The sequence below is a fragment of the Homo sapiens genome, chromosome 15 (genome assembly GCF_000001405.40).
Source record: "Homo sapiens chromosome 15, GRCh38.p14 Primary Assembly".
NCBI lineage: Eukaryota > Metazoa > Chordata > Mammalia > Primates > Hominidae > Homo > Homo sapiens.
Genome location: NC_000015.10, coordinates 60,855,827 through 60,878,995, shown reverse-complemented (window position 1 = coordinate 60,878,995; position 23,169 = coordinate 60,855,827). Strand labels below are relative to the sequence as shown.

General features: G+C 41.2%; 1 protein-coding gene and 1 long non-coding RNA gene across 3 annotated transcripts in view, besides 2 other annotated features; one reads left to right on the top strand and one right to left on the bottom strand.

Moving 5' to 3' along the window:
• RORA (RAR related orphan receptor A) overlaps positions 1–23,169 on the top strand; it is a 741,019-nt gene that overhangs the window by 350,307 nt on the left and 367,543 nt on the right. The window lies entirely within an intron of this gene.
• LOC102724802 (uncharacterized) lies at positions 15–23,006 on the bottom strand. Its single transcript, XR_001751785.2, has 5 exons — positions 15,607–23,006; positions 14,346–14,486; positions 10,746–10,829; positions 1,733–1,876; positions 15–93 (listed from the first exon to the last, which is right to left on the bottom strand). It is a non-coding gene; the product is annotated as an uncharacterized LOC102724802 (long non-coding RNA).
• Positions 18,275–19,474: an enhancer, noted in NCBI's record as "MED14-independent group 3 enhancer chr15:61151721-61152920 (GRCh37/hg19 assembly coordinates)". NCBI's record gives its function as "activates an origin of replication core promoter dependent on BRD2, BRD4, P300/CBP and CDK7 cofactors, and independent of MED14, by STARR-seq in HCT116 cells {active_cell/tissue: HCT116}" and the evidence as "EXISTENCE:reporter gene assay evidence [ECO:0000049][PMID:35650434]".
• Positions 19,874–20,427: an enhancer, noted in NCBI's record as "NANOG-H3K27ac hESC enhancer chr15:61150768-61151321 (GRCh37/hg19 assembly coordinates)". NCBI's record gives its function as "activates a minimal SCP1, AML or CMV promoter by ChIP-STARR-seq in naive H9 embryonic stem cells {active_cell/tissue: H9 hESC(naive)}" and the evidence as "EXISTENCE:reporter gene assay evidence [ECO:0000049][PMID:30033119]".

The window sequence follows — 23,169 nt, the reverse complement described above, 5'->3', positions numbered from 1 at the left end:
GTCCCAAAACCTGCACAAGCTGACAGATGAGTGGCTGAGTTGGGACTTGATGAGCAGATCCACCATTGGTCTGGAGGTCTGGAATCCAAGGAGCTTAAATTAAGAAAATTAAAATAAACATTGTAGGATAAGACACCAATTCTGGATACCTGTAGGGAGGCCTACCTAATGGGAATTTTTCCTTAACTAACGCCCTGCAAGACATTACCTCAGACATAATTTACTTCATCTAGAAAAATAAGCACAGTAGGTCATTACAGGAGTATTGCTTCCAATAGCTGCTGTTTCTGCAGGGCCCAGGTTTTCAGACAGAGGTCTGAGCAATAATAGTAAGTTAAGATTTAGCTAAGAAGGCTAAAAAGTACTAGCAGAGGAGCAGAGCTTTCGGGGAGCAGGAGTGACCTCCGAGGATGGTCAGGACTCAGCCACTGCAGGGCGAGCAGGCGGAGCCTCAAAAGATCAAGGTGGTTTCAACACATCTTCAGTTTCTGAGCCATGATTTTCCCTCCTTCTGAGTCACACCAGCCACCAACTGGGTAATGCCAAATTTGTAGCTCTCTCTGTGTCCCCAGAGGGTGAGGCTGGTGAGGAGAAAGTCACTCTGTCCTCTTCAACACTGGAAAATTCTTTTTTTTTTTTTTTTTTTTTTTTTGAGACAGAGTCTTGCTCTTTCGCCCAGGCTGGAGTGCAATGCCGCGATCTCGGCCCACTGCAAGCTCCGCCTCCCAGGTTCACACCATTCTCTTGCCTCAGCCTCCTGAGTAGCTGGGACTACAGGCACCCGCCACTACGCCTGGCTAATTTTTTTTTTTTTTTTTTTTTTTTGTATTTTTAGTAGAAGCAGGGTTTCACCTTGTTAGCCAGGATGGCATCGATCTCCTGACCTCGTGATCCGCCCACCTCGGCTTCCCAAAGTGATTACAGGTGTGAGCCACCGCACCTGGCCAACGCTGGAAAATTCTTAATTTAGGCTCCACACCTTATTCTTCCCAGCCCAAACTCACTTCAGTGGGATAGTTTGTATAATATTGTGAATGTTTAAAGCAAGGCATTTATATACAGTTAGTTTGCCTTGAATAGAAGTGAATCCAAATCGGGTCTCATTAGAGCACCACTGATCTATGATTTAGGCAATTTTACCATTTTCTGCAAAGGGAAGAAATTATGGGTATATTCAGACATAATTCCATAGCATGAAAGTGAAATCTTTCTTTTATTGCTTTGACTGCTTTATTTTATTAATTTATTTTACTAGTGTTTCTGAAGTAGTGAAGTGTCAGGAACTCCATTAATATGGATCTTGATTGTTAACAGAGTCTTAGATTTGTAATGGATTTGTTATTTATAAGATAAACTTTGGTGTTTTCATTAAAAATGCTTGGATATGATAACAGTGTTATAATAACAATGAGAGTGATAACATCTACCTGGATTTTAAAAATAATAACAGCCATTTTTACTCACAGACTAAATCAGTTAAGTTATCTTTGGATTACATCAAAACAGCCTCACACCCTATCTTAAGAGAACTTACTATCTCAGGGGAAGAACATTTGTGTCCAAAAAAAGTCATAAGAACACTCATTCATTCATTTGACATTATTACTGTATTCTTATAAAATAGCGGGCACTATGCTAAGTCCTGGGGAGAGAGAGGTAGATGAGAAGGTTAAGAGTGTACCACACCAAGCAGGTGAAAGAAACCCAGGCTCTCATTGTTCAGTAATACTACCTTAGGTCTTAAGAGGTCCTTGTGTCTGCATCTGGATTTCATACATGCTCAGCCTGATGTGTGCTTTTCATTTACTTGCCTTGGTGAACTACTTCTCAGCCTTGTGTTGAGATGTCCTTTCTTCTAAAAAGTCTTCCCCAATATCTGCAAAGTATTTTTTTAACTTTTATTTTAAGTTCAGGTGTACAAGTACAGGTTTGTTACATAAGTCATAGGGTTTGATGTACAGATTATTTCATCACCCAAGTATTAAGCCCAGTACCCATTAGTTATTTTTCCTGATCCTCTCCCTCTTCCCACCCTCCACCGTCTGAAAGGCCCCAGTGTGTGTTGTTCCCGTCTACGTGTCCATGTGTTCTCATCATTTAGCTCCCACTCGCAAGTGAAAATATGTCCAATATCCACAAAATTTAATAGCACTTAGCATCTTGAATTGTGACTAGGTGTCTGTCTCGCTAATCCTTGAGGAAAGAGCCATGTTTTCATGATATCAGATACCTGGTAACTCTCAGGCATAGAAGATGTCCCATACACCTGTATTAAGCATATGAATGATTGAAGCATAAACACTAGATGAAGTTTCTCTTTGAAAATTACCTGGAAATGGTACTATGTAAAAATTATTTCAGAAAAAAAAAATCAGCAAAAATCCTAACAAGTGTGCTCCATGGTGTCACAGGCAGACTGAAGTTGTGTGACTCTTATCACATAGCCTTGATGTGATAACGAAGGTTTTAAAAAAATGTGTGAAGGTTGATGTGTATGGGCATCAGTGCAGTAATGTCCAGGATTTCCAAAGAGAACATTATCTTTGGCCTAAGAAGAAAGATTTTAAAATCAAATTTAAGCCCAATATGGCCCAGATGTCTCAAGTCAGCAAAACCATTTGTCAAAAGAATTCCGAGTGCCTCCAACAAGTGTGGTGGTCTCCTAGCCGCCCCCCCCCCCCCCCACTTCCTGTAAGAGCCCACAAATGACAGATCCCAGAAAGCCAACTTCAGAAAAAACACATTTTTTGGTTGGGGGAGACCAACCTCAGGAAATTAATTCTCTGTACTCTAGCTGTCACATTCACAATTAATTAGCTTAAAGTTCCTTGAAAGAACATTTATGCTATTGTGGCTTGATTTGCTTGAAATAGTAGAAATCTGTGGGACTTCAGGAGGGTGTGGTGGTATAAAACCCTTGGCTTTCACAACTGGTTTTTCTCTTTCCTTGAGGATAACTGACATTAAATACGCTGAACAACTGTGGTCTTCAAAGAAGTTTTTAGAGAACCTGATCCTTAAGTGAAACAAGCAAAAGTTTGAAACTAATTACCATGAAAAGTAGTATTTCAAAGGGCTCCTTGGGTGGTCCACTGGAGCCTGCCATCAGGTGAAAAAAGCCAAAATGTTTAACCTCCTGCAGGCGTTCTGGTTCACAGTGAATCTACTACTGAAGGCCTGGCTTCATTCATATCTAGAGGGATTGGCTTCTCTCATCCACCGTGGCTGCAGAATTTATTCCCAGAATGACCATATTCTTCTCCTGGGTGATTTCCACTGGTATCCTCACCGTTGGACATACTGGTGAGACAACAGCAGACGCATTTCTAACAGAAAGATTTGGTTAACTCTCAAAGGTCTGTTTCCCTGAAGTGCCTCTCCATACAGCACAGCCCAGCTCTAGAATTCCCTGGGTTATTGAACTGAGTGAGTCCTGCTACCATTTGTAGACATACCCAACATTTATTACTCATGGATCACATGATTTACCGAGATCCAGGAAGGACAGCAAGTGATCAGACGAGATCCTGAGTTTGGAGGCACAGAGCCTGAGTTCCTATCCTGACTTGGACACTGGACATTTTGTAAGTTCACTGCTACATAAAATTTATACATTTGAACATTAAATTGTATAGGTTGTGTTTTTTAGGGGGGTAGATTATACTAAAATTCTGCTTATTTGCAGACAAAGCTGTGTCCTTGAGGGCATAGTTGAAGTTACAAACAAAATGTTTTATCTTTTTTTTTCTTCCCAAAAATATGCATTAAGCATCAACTATGTACCAGGCACTGTTCTAGGTGCTGGGAATACAGCAGTAAACAGAATAAACTTTCCAACTTTGTAGGATTACATTCCAGCTTAGGGGTCAGTAAACTTAGGGGTCAGTAAGCTAGGGGTCTAGCTATGGGACCCTCTGCAAGTCCTGTCACCTCTCTGAGTCTCAGTGTTTTTGTTGTTACCATTATTGTTGTTATTGATGATGTTGTTGTTCTGATGAATAGCTAGAATTTTGTTGTGAGTTTCCTGTGAGCCATATGCCCTGATAAATGTTTACCTGGATTATCCTAAGAGTCTCCTGAGGTGTAGATAGTATTATTCACTTCCCTTTATCAATGAGAAAAAGTGAAAGATTAAATAACTTGCCCCAAATCACCTATAGTTAGTGAAAAAGCAGAATTTGTACACTAGCAGGCTGACCCCAGAGGCCACACTTTTAACCATGATCCTACTTCCTCAGGGCAAAATAAGGTTAAAATAAGTGGATGTCCTTTTTCAATTCTAAATTTCCATAATTCTGTAAATCATTCCATAAATTCTGTAATACCCCTACTTAGTTTTGGTGATTAAGAAGAAATTTTATACGCTGGAATAGGAGTTAGCAAACAATGGCCTACATGCTAAATCAGGCCCCATGCCTTTCTATATTAATAAAGTTGAATTGGAAAACAGCTACACTCATTCCTTCATGTATTGTCTGTGGCTGCTTTTGTACCACAATGGTGGAGTTGAGTCTTACAAAAGACAGTCTTGGCACAAAACTAAAAGTATTTACTCTGCTGATGCTTTATGGAAGTTTACTGACCCCTAAGCTGGAATGTAACCCTACAAAGTTGGAAAGTTTATTCTGTTTACTGCTGTATTCCCAGCACCTAGAACAGTGCCTGGTACACAGTTGATGCTTAATGCATATTTTTGAAAAAAATAAGATAAAACATTTTGTTTCTAACTTCAACTATACCCTCAAGGACACAGCTTTGTCTGCAAATAAGCAGAATTTTAGTATAATCTACTCCCCTAAAAAAACAAAACCCATAAAATTTAATGTTCAAATGTATAAATTTTATGTAGCAGTGAACTTATTATAAAATGAGATTTTTATCAATTTTCTTGAGCCAAAAAAGGGATGCCAGATTTAAGATAAACAGCTGTTGTAGGTTTTTCTTCTTCCCTTTTCAGGACTTCATGCCTTGGCTTGGTAAAATTAATATTAACATTGAAAAAAATAGGTTATTTGTTTTAAGTGACTTCCCTATAAGCTAATTGGCGAATATTTATAGAAGGATAGACAGACTGCTTTGCATTCTGTATTTGCCCTTTCTTTTGTGAATTACTATGTGAAAGATAAATTCCCTGATATTTTATACCTATTACCTACAAAATTTGCTTTTTGCTCCAGAATGTATTATTTGGGAATGTTTAAAACAGCAACCGGATATCTCTAGCTGCATTTCAACTTAATAGAGCTAATACAGCTAATTGGAGGTGGGAGTTGTTCGGTGGAAGCTACTTTATGTTCCAGAACAAACTTAGAAACATAATAGCTGTGGCAGCTTTCCCCCCTAAGTTTGTATAGTCATTTATCTTAGCAGCAAATTAATTAATTTTCTTTCATTATCTGGTACTTAGTCATAAAATGTTGTCATTCTCATTATGTCATTCTGCAAAATCCTCTGTACATATTGTTAATAATACCGAACTGTGTGAGCTCACCACAAGTTATATGAATGTATTTGGAAATTATTCTAATAGAAGTAACTTTTAACATGTAATCCCAAGTTTTCCTGGCCTTTTAGAAGTACCTGCATACTTCTGGACTAGATCTAAGGGGCATGACCATTTCTTCATTCATTCATTTATTCCAAAAACCTACTTTGTACTGAATATTTGGCTAAATGATTAAGATAACTTGCACACATACACACAGACACACACACACAGACACACACACACAGACACACACACACAGACACACACACACACACACACACACGACCTTTACCCATAGAAGACCACAATCTGGTGTGGAGGATGTGTTAGGGAGAGAGTCAGAATCTGAGATGAACACTTTAATCATGAGTGAGGGGAAATTCTGGGCACAAGAGGCTCTGGGCACCAGCTGAGACTGGGAGAGACAAAAGATCAAGGAAGAATCTTTATAGACTCGGCACTTGATGTGAAAAACGAAAACTAAGAAGAAGGAGAAGAGGAAAGAGGGAGCCCATAAATAAAGGAATTAGGAAAAGAAAAGTTGAGTAGGGATTGCGCTGGTGAGGAAGATATGGAAGGGCACCCCAGAGAGGAGGAAGAGCAGGTGAAGAGCACATAGCACTAAACAATATGTGCACTTGGGGAACAGCACATAGGGGTGCATGGCTGGAGGTAAGGAGGAGAGGGCAGGAGATGAGCCAGGGGGGCAGATGTGAAGGAGCTTGTGCACCATGCTAAGGAGTTGACTTTGATATTGTTGTTGCTGGGGAATTGTGCAAGAAAGACCAGATGTACTGCCATAGGAAAGAACTAGTTAATTGGAATGACAAATCAACAAGTGGTGGTGCTAGCATTTGGGACCACAAGATTCCTCTACTTGTGTATGAACCACCTCTTCAGTCACTAAATAGAGAAGTGATTCCACTCTGCAGTTTCAGAGATTCCAGGAGATGTCAAGCAAAACCTTTGCTGTTCTCACTGCCCTACTTTATACTTGGTTGCTAAATTCTGTGCACCCTGAGAGACCCTGGTGTGGTCTCTCAGGTACCATTCGAAAAGTTTCTCTTGCTGTCCCACTTCCAGAGTGAAGACCAAACAATAGCTGCCTTTGTGTTTGCCTGCGGATCATGGCTCAGTACCTTCTCAAGATACCCAACGTCTTGCTCAGACCGCATTTTGAATTTGTTATCCTTTTAGGTTTTCATTGCATTCTCCAGAGCATCTTTGTATATGATCTTCCTAATACCCCTGTGAGAGATGCAGAGCATCTCACAGATGTAGGTATTCATTCTATAGGAGGTTAAATGGCCAATGCAAGATCACAGCTTAAAGTATGTACAGACCTGGGCCTCAGACATGGAGCTCCTACCTCTTAGACTAGTGCTTATTTTGCTATGGCACACTTGCTTTATGATAGAGATTACCTCATAGTGCTGCCAGTGAGTTATTCTCCAAAGCATAAGTTCATCCACAAAGCTTTCAATAAACTGTTTACTTTGGAATACTTCTAGATTTGCATAGAGTTGTAAAGATAATGCAGAGAGTTTCTGCATACCTTTTACCCAGTGTCTCCCAACGTTAACATCTTACATAACTATGATTCATTTGCCAAAACTCAGAAGTTAACATTGGCACATTACTATTAACTGAAGTCCAGACTTTATTTGGATTTTACCAGTTTTTTCCACTAATGTCCTTTTTCTGTTTCCAGGATCCAATCCAGGATACTGCATTGCATTTAACATCCTTAAAGTTTTTAATTATGCATGGTTGTGGTATATGGAAGCTGACTGCTTCACATAAGAGGCTTTGAACTGGCTAGACTGGACAAGAGAGAGCCAGTTCTGTAAAAGGGAAAAGTCTTCCTTTCTTAAGTGGAAAAACCATTCAGCTTTGGAATATAGGGGCAATATTTCCCTCATCAACCCTCCTAGGTTGAATGGCTCCCACAAGGAAGAACAGAGTCAAAATCTGAGTTGGTGATATTAATATTTATTTGATGAATGGCATTACAGGTAGTCTGGCTGGCCATGGCCCTTGAAACACATTATGCACATAAAATACTTCAAACCTCATGTAGATGTCATTCTCCAATCCCATAAACAATGCTTTGTTTGCTAGGGCAGCGATTCAGTGAAGGCCATTATTTGGTGTACCTTAAGCTTGTAGGCTGAACTCCAAATTTAACAGGAAGGTTACCAAATAATTCTTAAGTGCCCTTGAGGAGTTTGGCTTCCAAATGTGTGCTTTGGTGTGGTTTGAAAAAAAAACAAATCTTTGATCTGCAACAGGAATGTAATTTGGGGAAACGTGCAAAACTTCTGTTGCCTGGATATCTCCAACCCATCTCCTTTTGTAGACTTGATCTATTATGCATTGAAGTCCATTCTAATTACTGTTTCCTATGCTTGTTCCGATGTGCTCAAGAAGACATTTCTAAAAGTTCTCACTTTAGAGAAAAGAGGATCTGGCTGTGTTTGCATGAGTATCAAACCTCTCCAACTTGCATTGATTGTCTAGCAAACCAGATGTGTCTTCCTAACAGGACTAGTAGAGTAACTGAGAGAGTTAAGAAGTTGTTTAAAAAATACTTCTTGGCAAGAGATCACATTGATTGTCTTGGAAAAGAACAATAGGATTAGGACTTGTCTTGTACAGTTGCCAAAGGCAAGCCTATGCTTATGTCACAGGGACAGTTAAACAACTCTATAAGTGACCCATATGTGACTAGTGAGTGTAAGGATTGGCCTAGCATAAAATGCCTGTGACCACTGACAACCAGAATGCCTAGTGGGGAGGGGAAGATGCAGGCCATTGTCCAGGAGGTCTTATGCTTTTGTGACGCCAAGTAGGTTTCTGTGCAAAAGTGTTTGAGCGTCACCACGCATATACAGTTATAAACTGACTACGTAATCTAATGGCCAAGTGCCTTCTTAGTCTAATGTATCCTCCCACAGAGATTTGCTAGCTAAAGACGCCCCTCTGCTCTATGGTTGTCGCCACTCTCACTACACTTCCACTACCTCCTTGGGTCCAGATGCCTTTTATCCATTAAGGACCAACATATGAACTGCTTCTTCCGTACAACCTGGTAGATACCTGTAAACAGAAGACATTATTTCTCCTCTAAAATCCACAAAAATCGCTGTCCATAGCTCTTAGGTGCACTTTTCACTCTCTGGTCATGTAAGTAGGTGTCTAATTCCCCCTCATAGGATAATTAATTTGTGCATAGGATGTTTGTTTAATTTACCTTTATTTAGCCCCACAGTGCTTAGCATGCTACTTGGTACATACCAGCAGTTCAATAACTCTCTGAATAAATAGCACCTGGTTTCTGTAGCCAGCTGTGGCTAGTAACGGAATAACCTTTGCTTTGCTCATTAACTTATGACTGAAATCATGAATAATAGGAAGGCCTAGTCACATGTCTGATTGAATTCTTATACCATTGTTGCAAAGACTACTTCATGGAGATATTTTCCTTGGCCCAGTCAACCACAGTGAGAAAAGATAAGCAGGCAACCAAGGAACACAAAGAGTCCTCAAGTCACTTCTTCTTGATCTTATTATGAATTCTGAGTGGTGCAATGTATCCTAGTCAAGTTGCCTCCTCTGGGACATAAGTGTGGAGGAAGCAAGAACAGTGATGCACTACCAAGCCAGAGGGAACAAGAGGAGGATGGCAAAACGTGTCAGGGCCAGGGTTCCCCTTAGGGCTAGCATCGCTTATGCACTTTCTTGTCCATTTTATGGTTTTCCAAGGGGAGAGGGAGGAGTGGTCACTTGCTTATGCATTTTTCGATCCTAGAAGTCTGGGACTTGTAAAAGCCATTACTTGAGAGCAGCTGGGGCAAATTTAAACTTTTAACAAATGTTTATAATACCTGTTATGTGACCAGCCACATGCCGGACATTGTGTGCCATCAGACCTGCCCACTGGCAATCTCCTGTTGATAAGAGTCTATTTGGAGAGACTCTATCAACAGGAGATTTCCAATCATGTTTCTAACCAAAGTGTTGGCTGAACTCAGGAGTATTAAGCTGAAACATGCCCTGCATTATTGAGACCACCTTTCCTTCTCCTGTTAGGTGCACCTGGATAATCTATATTGTGGCCTATCCTGGGTGACACCTATAGTCCCAACCTCTGTAATAGATGCCTCTCCTGGGATTTTCATGGAAAAGAAAAATCTGTTTATAAAATCGCGAAATCAGCCTGTGCCCTCTATATCTCTGGGAAAGGTCCTACCTATTAATTCAGCCACATTCCGATGCCTGACAACTCCTTACACAAAGGTCAGTGGGAAAAAATGGTTACCTTGGCTGCACTGAGGACCTGCAATTTTATGGTCATTTCAGCCAAAATATAAGGAACTGATGTGTTCTTTTTTTCTAGATGTGGCCCATTTTCTGAAGGATACCACCATCAAAATACTGTAAAATAATGGGGGGGTGCCTGATGGAGTGATTTGGTCCGAGGTTGATGGTAATAAAACTGGAACATCCATCATGTTTGGCATGGGTTCTGGTCAGCTTCCTTGTTTGAAGTGTACTGTCTGTGCCTAGTGGAAATAATCAGGTTGCCAACCTGTGTTTGGAAAGCTGTGAAGAAAGCAGCTCTTTATGTACAGATAGACAGGAAGGCATGAAGTGCTCTCAGACATTTTCTCAATTTTCCTCTTACTGAGTGTTTTTCCCCCCTGGAAAATGCTTTAATATCCAATTGATAAGGTCCCAAGTGAAATTTACACATGAAAGAAGGGAGAACTTCTAATAAAATGACATTAGAATCCTTTTTTTCTCCCAGACACCCTTATGCCATCTCTGATTGAATGGATTTGAAACCGAAGTACCACGCACTTTGGGGTGGAAGGAAGCCTAAAGGCCACTCCATCCAGTCCTTCATTTGCTGTTTAAATCCCTCTCACAGTAGCCACACAGGCAGGGTTGGTCCAAGACTCTAAGTCTATGATTCTTCTGATGACTGAGGGCTTGCTAGCCCAACAGAACCATCAGGTTTGGAAGTGTACTTAAGCTAATAAAACAGCTTTCAATGCACAAGTCCTCATTAATAATAAAGGCTACTTTTTTCAAATGTGCGTCCCTGTGCTAAGAGCTTGAGAGCTTGACATGTACCAACTTATACTATTCACAGTGACCTCCAAGGGAGATGCTATTACTGCCATTTTCCAGTTAAAGAAACCAAGGCTTAACTAAGTGAGCCAAAGTGCTTATCTAGTTTATTCACAGATACCTCCAGTGACAGGGACCATGCAGTTCTTCTCCAGCCAGCTCTGACTCTCAGAAACTGCTTCTCTATAAGGTGTAATGTGTCTCCCTATAAATCAAGCAGTAGTTATTAACTGCTAAAATTCTGGCACCATGCTAGGCATTTTAGATTTAAACAAATTATGGGTGTTATTTGTATATTTATATATATTTCACCTTATTTTAAGAGCTATTTGGGGAAAATAGAAGGAAACTTCTGATATATAACAATGGCAAAATATAAATAAGATTAGAGAAGCAGGATCAGGGAACGTGTAAGTAAAATTGAAAACTATCATGACCAGATTAAAAATATACTATACATATTATATAGAACAAGAAAGAGTGCATCAATTTATTTCGTATTTCACCTGGACTTCCTGGCAACCAAAATAAAATGGGAGACATTGTCAATTCACAGTTCTTATTAATCAAATGATCATTAAAACGGGGTAGCCATTTTCTTGAAATGAAATTGTGAGAAAACTCTCTCATAGGATCTCATATAGAGAATATCAAGAGATCCTGGTAGCTGTAGCCTCAACAAAATTTCTATAGAGTACATATTAATTATTTAGCACATTGATACACTTAGGCTCTAATGCATCTTTTGTTAGAACCCAAGAGCAGAACATTAAAATAAACTTGGCAAAAAGGGCGATGTAGGTCAAATATATAGCCTATGAACTCCCATCTGTATACCCTAAGAGGAAAGATTCTCTGCTACTGCTCTCAGTACTTCACATATGACACCTGATGTGTGCGTTTCTTTTCCTATAACAATTCAGTTCTGTGGCACACACGAACTGGGTGTTCTACAATTAAACTCAATTCTGACACTATCTACCTGGAAATAGCATCAGATCCCACAGTTAAGGGCTCAGTTGCACAATACTGCCCCCACTTAAGATGTCAATCTACATGTTGTCACCTGTGATTTCTGACCCATCAGCTATAATTTCGAAGTTGCCAGTACCCCTCCTCAGGCTCAGTCACTTACTAGAACAGATCAAAGAACTCAGGACAACAGTTTTCTTACTAAATTACTGGTTTATATTAAAAGATAGATACAAAAAGGTTTATACAAAAAGGCTGAGTGTGGTAGCACTTTGGGAGGTCTAGGCAGGCAGATCACTTGAGCCCAGGAGTTCAAGACCAGCCTGGGAAACATGGCGAAACCCCGTCTCTACTAAAAATACAAAAATTAGCCGGGCATGGTGGCTCACAGCTGTAGTCCCAGCTACCCGGGAGGCTGAGGCATGAGAATCGCTTGAGCCCTGCAGGCAGTGGTTACAGTGAGCCAAGATCGCACCACTGCCCTCCAGCCTGGATGACAGAGCAAGATTCTGACTCGAAACTAGATAGGTAGATAGGTAGGTAGGTAGATAGATAGATAGATAGATAGATAGATAGATAAAGATAAGATACAACTCAGGAACACCCAGATGGAAAAGATGCATAAGACAAGATATAGGGGATGGGCATGCCACCCTCCCAGCACCTCTATGTCTTCAGCAACCTGGAATCTCCCTGAACCCTGTCCTTTTGGGTTTTATGGCAGCTTTGTCATGTAGGCATGATTGGCCACTGGTGACTAATTTAAACTCCAGCCCCTCTCTCCTCCCTAGAGGTCTGGAGAGTGGGGCTGAGAGTCCCAATCACACAGTTTGTTCCTCTGGCAACCAGCCCCCCATGCTTAGGAGCTTCCTAAAGGGCAGTCATTAATATAAACGCAGGTGTAATTGAAAAGGGTATGTTATGAACAATAAAAGATGATGATTTTGCCTTCATTCTCTTATCCCTTCTGAAATTCCAAGGGTTTTAGGAACTCAGTAACAGAAATGGATGAAGACCAAATATATATGTCTTGTTATAAATCACAAAATCACTTGGAACTGGAGGACATTATGTTGAGTGAACTAAGCCAGGTGCAGAAAGACAAATATTTAATATGTGGGAGCTAAAACAAATCTTGAACTCATGCAGATGGAGAGTAGAATAATGGCTACCAGAGGCTGGGAAGAATAGTGGGGAGGTGGATATAAAGAGGAGATGGTTAGTGGGTACAAAAATACAGTTAGATAGAAGGAATAGGATCTAATGTTCATTGGCACAATAGGGGTGACTATAGTTAATAATAATTTATTGTCTATTTCAAAATAACTAAAAGAGGAGAAATGGAATGTTCCTAACACAGAAAAATGGTAAATGCTTGGGGTGATGCATTTTGATCACTATATATTGTATGTTTGTATCAAAATATCACATGTAAAAATATATAAATAAAAGAAGATAAGTTGTCTAGGCCAAAAAATTTTAATATCCCATCTCTCCCCTGAACAAAGGCGTAAAGCATTACCCCTGACACAACGATCTTCATTATAGCTCTCAGCTATTGAGACATATAGACAGGCCTGAGTCCCAAAATATAAATGGTATGAGTGTAGAGAGTAGGAACTCTCTGTGGTTGGGTGAAGCAACCCATTCAATGCAGGCTGGGACTGGAAGGGGCTGTTTCCAGGAAGGGTTGGCCTTCGTACTGAGCTGGACTGAACAAGCATTGAGAAAAGATAGACAAAAGATGAGTCAGGCTGAATGTAACTGATTTGATTTATTCCTTTCACTTAAACTGTGTAATGCCTCAGTTTCATGTGTCTACAGAGGACGCTCACCCTTGGCACCACCTGGAAAGTGTAACAGCAGGGCATTGAGGTTCTGGCCAAGGAGCCATCAGCAATCCCATTACCAATGCTTAAAGTGAGTCTCATAAGGCAGATTTGGCTCCAAGCAAAAACCACAGCTCTATTTTCATAAACTAATTTCACTTGTTTGCCCCAGTTAATATTAATAAGCCCAGGGCTATATGCTTCTACTTACCAGAGCACAAAGATAATAGAATAATAGAGTGTTAGATCTGAAATGGACCTTGGAGATCTTCTAGACCAACTTCTCCATTTGATAGATGAGGAAACAGGTGTGAGGAAGTAAAGAGCCAGGTTTCAGGCAGTGAAATTCACAGACTAGACTGGAACCCAAGTTCTCTGACAGGGAGCCCTGTTCAGGGTTTATCAGGTCTATCAAACATCTTTCTCTTTCTACCTCATCCCTAAGGACTGGAATGTGGTGGAAAGAACGTTGGACCAGGCAATGGGAGAACCAGGATCTAAACATATCTTCATTAATTTTACCTTGAATTTATCTGGCCTCTTATTTCCTCTTCACAGCATCAACTTTCTTGTAAAAGTGGATGCCTACTACTGTTCCCCAAAGGAAGAGGCAAGGTAAAACAAAGTCTCCACAATACTAGCAATACCAAATGTGGAACAAATCCCAGTGGTAGTGTTACTTGGTGCTCTGTGACTTTGGAACCTAAAGCTTCACTAGACCGTTGCAATTACTAAGTGAGTAAATAAAGCACATAGCACAAAGGCCTGGCACTGAGATGCCCACCCTCTTCATGGGGCTCCTGTCTTCTTCCTTCCTGATAGATCATGTGTAAGTTCATATGTATCTATAAGGGACATGAATTATCCAGAATTCCTTATAGTCAGAATGTACAGTGATATAATGTTCCTGAGTTACTTACCCATTTCCACTGGGTAAGTCAGCTTGCAGAACTCATTTCCGTTTCTCTTCAACTAGCCAAACATCCATTTTCACCTACATGGAAACTTCTACTGGCCTTGGGACAAATAAATCACATTTGGAGTGTCCCAGGACAATTTAGCTTTAGAAGAAAGAAAAAAAAAAAACAAGGATGGTAACATGAAAGGACGTTTGCTGTGTTGGGCTGTCACTAAGTCCCCATCGAAACTGTGAAAAATTATGGCCAATAAAATAACATTTTTCAAAATGTGACACTACCCTTAAGTTTATCTTGGGCAATAAATGGGTTTTAAAAAGAATATTTGAGGGCTATCCATTCTTCAAGCACTCAATAACATATCATAAGTTAATTGCATTATTAATTTATAACAGAGTAATTGTTTTGTCTCAACAGTCATTTTCACAAGCTCTGACATTCATTTTCTCTTCCTTTTTAATCATCTCAAAATATTAACACTTAAACCACCCCCACCATGCCACCCCAGTTGTCCGCCTCCTCCTACAAAATATAAAAAATGATTCTGAGGGCTGGGCACAGTGGCTTACGCCTATAATCCCAGCACTTTGGGAGACTGTGGCAGGCGGATCACGAGGTCAGGAGTTCAAGACCAGCCTGGCCAATATGGTGAAATTCCCTCTCTACTAAAAATACAAAAACTAGCTGGGCACAGTGGCACGCACCTGTAGTCTCAGCTTCTTGGGAGGCTGAGGAAGAAGAATTGCTTGAACCTGGGAGGCGGAGGTTGCAGTGAGCTGAGATGGTGCCACTGCACTCCAGCCTGGGCGACAGAGCGAGACTCTGTCTCAAAAAAAAAAAAAAAAAGATTCTGACAGTTGGCATGCATAATCTTCTGGCCACCCTTTTGTGATAATGAAAAGAATAAGAACAAAAGCAGCTAGTATTGACTGAGTTTGAAGCTCTGCGAAACAGTCTACTAAACAGTTTAACTGCATTACTTCATTTAATCTTCCCAACAATCCTGTAAGGTAGATGGCAGTATTATGCCTATTTTACATGTGAGGGAATTAAGGCAGAGAATCATTTTCTAAAGCCAAAACAAAAAACCATCCTCACCATTTATTTGGTGAGGGTTCATGAATACAGCTTTTCGTAGGCCAGATTTGCTTAAATAAGAATGTGTTTGAGTGCTGTTCATTCTATATAACACAAAATATAAATATCATCTTTAATTGTACCCAAGTCTAAGTAGTGAAAGGCAGAGGAAAATTAAGTAAAATACCTATTAAGACCACAAAAACTATGTCTTCGGGAATGAATTTTTTTTAAATGAATGATCCAGTTTGGGTACTGGTGTACATTGTAGTGTTAGAATGACCTTATTATGACATGTACAGGCATTGTGATTGTTTTGTTCCTGAAAGGTCAGAACACTAATGTGCAAGCCCAGGCTCTGTCACTATCTGTGCTGTGTCCAGTAGTTCACTTCATCTTTCTGAATCTCAATTATCTCAACTGTAAAAGATTGGCCCTAATATTCCAGTATTCCTAGAGTTTTTGTTGATAACAGGATAGACCCAAGAAACTGTTTACAAGCTAATCATGAAGATGATAAGGGGAAGACAGCCCATTTTTAATGCCCAAGTTTAGATATAGCAAGACTCAGTCTTGCATTTCAACCTGCCTGAAGGGAGAACCACACAGTTGGACAGCAGAGAGGAAAAGCCCCTATATGAAAGCTTAATAATAACAACAACCAAAAAAGGGCAGTCTTGAAGCATCATGACACTAAAAGCTCATTAAGATCTCTGTCCCAGCTATTACACTCCTAATTGAACAGTTACACAAATAGATGTACAATACAATTGTGACTCTAATTAAGGCTCCGACCTCAGAATCTAGTCAAAGCTTGTACAGTTCTCACTCCCCCTTTAAATAGCTGTTCTGGGCAAGCTCTGGGAAGGGAAGCTGTTCTATTATGACTTCACTGAAATAACATGAAAATTCATACAAGCGCTTCTTTTTCTTTTTTACCCAAAATACACCTCCCACTCTCCATTTCTTTCCTTTAGCTTCTGGGAGTGTGATCCTTTGGTAGGAGCGGATGCAATTTGCCAATCCAGTAGTGTCTGCCATATTGCTTTCAACACTTTTCTACAGTGCCCTCCATCAGTGCCTTGATCCACAAGACTAAGGGTCTGAGATAGTCTGGTCTGATACTCTCATGCTAGGATGCTAGCCTCCCTCTTTACTGGGTAATTGGCTTCCTTGCCTAAATTTTAGTTTTACTTTCTCTTGCCCACTTTTCCTTGTCCATCTATACATCTAAGCTAAGAATTTTAGCACATAAACGGTTCTGAGATTCCCTTAGCTTTTTCCTCTATCCTCTTGTCCTGACCTTTGCAGGCAAGAGGGTACTGTTACCTGTAAGAGGTAACCTTGTGAGAAGGAGTGAAAATCAAGGACTTCCTTTGAATCATGGAGAGTCCACTGAGTTAGAAAAATTCTAAAGGAGGAAAAAGGTGGGTAAAGATTTGTATATAGCAGATGTTCATAAAGTGCCCATTTCCTCTCACCCTGAACTAGTTGCCTTAGATGTGAATGGAAGATGGTATATTCATGGGCAGGAGCCATGATAAAATCTAGAGTGAATATAATTTGAACTTAAAGTTGATCACCTTCGTGAATTATTTTCCTTGCATCCTAAAACTGAGGACTGTTTTTGAGGCTGCTGCTTAATATACCTATTGAGGAGAGCCCAGTGACCTTAGGAGTGTAATAGCTGGGATAGAGATCTTAATGAACTTTTAGTGTCATGATGCTTCCAGGACAGAGTACCTTCTGTCCCCTTAAGCCTGAGTGGTATGGCCTTCTGCAGGGCTATTTAAATAGAGGCAAGCTTAACACACCAGGACACTTAATGTCAAATTACACGAAGAGGAAGAAGGCAGTTTAGAGGGACATCTCGTTCCTTGGAATTTTTAAAGAGTATTTATTATGCTTTTAAAATGAAGAATGAGCCAGGCATGGTGGCTCGCACCTGTAGTCTCAGGTACTCGTGAGGCTAAGGCAGAGAGATCACTTGAGCCCAGGAGTTGAAGACCAGCCTGGGCAACATAGTGAGACTCATCTCAATCAATCAGTCAATCTATCTATAAAAAGGTGGAGAGTGACTGTCTGCCTTTTGCTTGACGAAGAGCATGGTACAGTAGTCCTCATCACAACCATGCCACACTGGTGAGCCACCAGCTACCTCCAGGGTTACTCTGAGGACCCAATGAGCAAATACTTATAAAAGCACTTTGAAAACTGCCTTATCAATGTAAGTGGTTGGGTCTACAAACATACCCAATTCCTCTAGTGGGATTTGATCTACAAAAATCAAGAGATAAGCACATTTTTTTTCTGAGATATGTTATTGACATTAAGCCACCTCTCCTGTCTAACTTAATGGATGGATAATGCTTTATCAGTTGGGACCTACATGTGTGATTTCCTCATGCATTGTCAATTCCAATAAGGATATATCATCATGAATGGTTTCTTTAGGATCCAGTTTTATTGCTGACATCCTCAGTAACAGCCAAAAGGTCGTTTTCAGAGATCTAAGCTGGAGCATGATGGTCAAGGATACCCCTAAGGACTGTGTGCACATCATTATTAATGGACTTTTCCCACCATGTTATTTATTGGTTGATGTATCTGTCACTCCCAGCTGGGACACAGGGGCCTTAAGGAGAGAGAATCTCCTGCCCCAGGCCTGGCAACTTCTGGGACGCAGTGGATGGTCATTAAATATTTGAAAAGAGAAAGGCAGTGAGGGAAAATAAAAGGAAGTTCCATGGTGAATCTCCATTACCCTAGCACACTTCCCCTAGCACACAGTGGGTGCCCAGTAAGTGTACATTGAATTAATGCTTTTGATATCTGTAGTAGCCATTTTAGAATGTTGTACTTACATGATACTAGAACTAATGACTGTTACTTGTTTAGTGTGTCACAATTAAGGGAATTTAGCGAATAAGGCTCAGGATTTTTGTTTCACTTTCTTGGATTTCAACAATATCTCTATATCTCATTGGGCCATGACCGTGGGTTGATGTTTTATATAGGCTTTGCTTAGGCTGTTGTGTTCCTTCATAGTCTAGCCAAGAATTCAGCCATCGTAAAGGGACAGCATAGTACGTGCTTGCTTATGCTAAACGTTGGGTCAAATACACTTCATTCTCAGAAGGTTTGACTGAGAGCCCTTATTACTGCAAGCTTGAGGTTTGGCACAATCTCGAAGGTGTCAAGTTTCTCGCAACTTTTGACCTTGTGATGTACACTTAGATTTTCCATTGATGAGAAAATTATGCATCTGCTATTAGAGAAATGACTGCACTCTCTTGGATTGGGTGGTATGGTAAACTATAACTGGTGATGAACACATTTGGAATGGTTTGAGAACACAGATTTGGTTTTAGGCCCCATCTAAAGGTTTGCATGGTCATCTGAACTTGACTCATCTGATCTCAATCCGGACCATTGAGTCAGAAACACAAAGCTTGAAACCTCGAGAGGGAAGACTCCTGACATTTCTAGTCATGCCAGCTTCCCATCAAGCCAGCCACATTCGATGAAGTGTCCTCAGGCATTTTGGCACGTCCAGTTCTGTTCCCGGTCCAGGTTGTGGTTTCTTTGAAAGCAGCAGGTGTAGGTGGTAGGTGCATGGAAAGAGGCCACTGAACTTCAAGGAGTTTATGTCAGGGATCGGCTGCAGGGCTGAGGAGAGAGGGTTGCAGCATTCACCTTCCTCAGCTCGTTTGCTATGTCCTCCTGGAGGAGAGAGAAATTCAGCAGGAATAACTGGATTTCATCGGGTAAATTCCACAAATATTGATTAAGTATTCCCCACCCCACCCTGTTCTGGTGAGTCTTCAGTGTGGCCACAAATCACATAAGAAACTTGTTAAACTGAAAATTTACAGCCTAGACAAGAAAGTGAGACCCCCATCTCTAAAAAAAAAAAAAAAAGAAAGAAAGAAAGAAAGAAAGAAAAAAAACCCGGGTGTCGTGTTGCTATAGTCTCACCAGGCTGAGATGGGACAATCTCTTGGGCAGTCCCACGAAGAGACTGCAATGAGCTATGATTGTGCCACTGCACTCCAGCCTGGATGACAGAGCAAGACCCTGTCTCAAAAAAAAAAAAAAAAAAGGCAAAGAAAATTCAGATTCAGTAAGTCTGGGGTGGAGCTCGAGATCTCTGTACTTCTCACAAGGTCCCAAGGTCCCAAGGTCCCAAGGTCCCAGGTGAGGCTGATGCTGCTAAGCCATAAGCCACACTTTGAGTTGCAAGGCCCCAGGTGCAAAGCGCCATGCCAAATATAGGGAACACAAAGGTGAACAGATGAAGACGACAAAGCCATTGTCCTTAGGGGATCATCTCTTGGTGGGAAGACAGGTAAACAGTAACCATTCCACAGGCACCCCTGGTAAGGATTTAGGTGGATGGATCCTGTGGGAGCCCTGAACTGGGTCTTAGAGGTGAGCAGGTGAGCAAGTAAGGAAGCCAGACCAAGAGTATTTCAGGCAGAGGCAAGAACCTAGGTAAAAAGAGAAACCAAATGTAAGCTCAACGTCTTTCTGTGGAGCAGACACCTAAGAAATTGCCCAATTCATTCCCAAGCCCCCAGGAAAAAAAAAAAAAAAGATGAAGCCTATGAAAGCACAGAACATTCCTGTGGCAAGTAAGCAATCACTTATTTCCAAGGGCACCGGGCCTTCTTTCGGCTGCACAATCTAATTAGAGCGTTTGAGATGTGGATTCGGGAGAAGCACCAAGCTGAGGGTATTGTAAGCCAGCTGAAGCTGTGAAAAGTCGAGCAATCCCATTCTCAGCACTTTTTGCAGCCCTGTCTTTCATTTTTTGTGGATTGACCAAACTGAGGTTTTGCTTTGTGCTTTTGTGTGTGTGTGTGTGTGTGTGTGTGTGTGTGTATTTTCTTTCTTTTTAATGAATCTGAAAACTCAGAGTGAAACCCAGGCAGGTGGTTTGATTTCCCCAGGTTCTTTCCTCTCCTTCCTGCTGCCCACCCCTGCTTCACCCCATCCCCGCTGTCCCTCCCACCCAGAAATGAGACCCTTTGGCATTGAATACACTGCAGATTTCTTCTCCCGCCTGAGCTCATCACTGACCCATCAGACCTTCTGAACCATACTGGGTGAGTCCAAACATTGCAGTCCATCAGTTGCCTGGGAGAAAATGTCCCTGGTCTTTTTTCTTCACTGCATGTGTCCTGTCTTGGCCCTGCCACTTACCAGTAGAAAGACCCAGAACGTGTTTTTGCCATAATGGGAATAGTAATAACAAAAACTTGCTTAGAAGTGTACACAGCTCTCACCCACAAGCCTTCCACCTATCCTGGCAAATAATTAGGGCAGGTACTAGCATCTTTATTTCCATTTCATAAGTACAAGAACTGAGACCCAGGGAAACACAGCTCATACATGGTGAAGCAAGGCCATGGACCCCGTGTTCTGACTCTCCATAGTAACGTTATATACTGGCCATGGGCAACAGGCCCTGCAATAACCTTCAATTAATCCTCATAGCAACACAAACTTCAGAAAGGAAACTGAGGCTTAGAGAGACCAAGGTGCTGTCCTGAAGTCAGTGAGTTCCAAACTTGGGTTGCAAACCCCAGTGTGACCGATCTCAGAGTCCTCACTCTTACCCTGATACTGTGTAGCTTCTTCTGTCATCCTCAGCCCTTCAGTTCACCTCTCTTGGCCTGACTTTCTCATCTGTGAAATGGAGGTGGCTGGCTGTGATCTGTAAGACCTCCTTCCAGCTCTAATATCCTGGGATCCTATAATTTTGCCTCAGAAACCAAAGTTCTTTGTTGCCAGCTTCTCTTCGGTACTAATCATTTTGCTTAATTATGTTGAACTCCAAGTGAGTTTTACTGCAGCTGTCAACACTCTGGAGTTGGTTACACGGCTGAAGCTGCTAGCTGGATGATAGCACCTGTGTGCCATTTTGCAGGGCGTGTGCGGCAGCCAGGTAGGCCTTCTGCTTGGCTGGATGCTTTGAGGCTGAGTCTTGATGCCAGCTGAGTTCCTCTGTTTGTATGGGAAAGGAGTAGGCATACCTTCAGCTACAAATACCCGGAAAGCAACATCAGTCACTTTGGCTGAGTGTACACTGCTGGTTTCATTCCAAAGCCTGGCATGTTGTGTTGTGTGGATGGGGTGTTCAAGGTGGAGAGGGCAAAGACTCAACATCTGATACATTTACTTCCATTTGGGGTGCATGAGCAAAGATCATTTCAGTCTCGGGCTTCTTCGTGGGAACTTGACTTGCCGGGTAGCTCCCCCTGGGGTTCAGATCTCTGTTCATTGTTTCTCTTCAAGCCCTGGGAAGTGCCATGTTATCTGGAAAGCTTTCCCTAACATGTTCTGTCTGCATTTATACTTCACCCATGTGCCCCTCAACTATTCATCATAGCCCTTGTCCCACCATAATGAAAATGTCTCTCATTATTTTTCTGGCTGGCCCACGAGCCTGCAAGGTCCTTATAGGTGCCAACTAAGTATCATTCATCCCTGGATGCTCTCCCACTAGACGTTTATTGAATGAAGAGTGGAGGAATGAATGAAGCAACGATGGCTTCCTCTGTGCTCATCCTTCCAGTGTTCTACGCACAGATTAGGAACAAGAGTTTCCTTTGTCTTTCTGACATTCTCCCATTATTCCTCATCCTTCCTCTTTTGATAGACTCAAGGTTTACCCAATTGGTGAATCTCTCTTCTGAGCCTTCTCCTAAACTAATTTGTCCCCAGAATAGCACCCCTTCTCCCTCTCTGTCCTTACCAACACATGCTTCTGACAGTCCAGGTTCCACCTCTGAAATGTCAGCTAAAACTCTTCTCATTCAGGCAGCGTTCCCTGTCCAGAAAAGAGGCAGCACTTTCTCTCTTGCTCTATTTGAATTAAACATGCAGTTGCCAGGAGTCACCTGAATTCACACTCTACAGCATACTCTTTCTTCCCCCTTGATTCAAGCATGATGTAAAATGTTATACATTTTTTTTCAAGTTGTAAAAGTATTAATTCATTTGCATCGATGACTTATCTTTGTCTTGTAAATATTTTGATAATATCTAAGGACTCTTCTAGTTCTAAGAAAAAAAAAAAAAGGTCAGTGATTCTTTAAAATCGTGATGGATCTCACCTCTTCACCCCAAGAGATTCTATTCAGGAGATCTGCTACCATGCTTTAAATCTTAACAGGTGAGTGGTTGGACAGGAAGAGACCTGGAAAGGTGAACTCTATTCAGTGTTATTACTTGGGGGAGGGTTGAGAGGAAAAGAAAATATTGAGTTGTGGAAGGCATCTGAATGGTTTCCACCTTCAGAAGCAAAACGTTCTATGCCACTTAATAGTGGCCTCAAATATGCCAAGAAGATAGTTTTACCTGAGCTCTTTTCATTGTCTTTTAACTTTTCCTTTTCCACTTCATCAGTTTCCCCAGTTGGTAGGGATGATCTTCAGATCTGTTCAGGGATGTGGTTGTTGAGGATGGATCAGCAGGGCCACCATATTTAACATGAGTGGGTTTAAGGATCCCTTGAGGTTGCTGAAAGTTTAGATTCCCAGGCCTTTCATCACAATTCCTGATTCAGTATATATGAGGTTAGCCCAGAAATCTACACTGTATTTAATATTAGTTCAATTTAATGCATAAATGCTTTTTAAAAAAATAAGCAAACAGGGCTGGGTGCGATGGCTCACACCTGTAATCCCAGCACTTTGGGAGGCCGAGGTGGATGGATCACGTTGTCAGGAGTTCGAGACCAGCC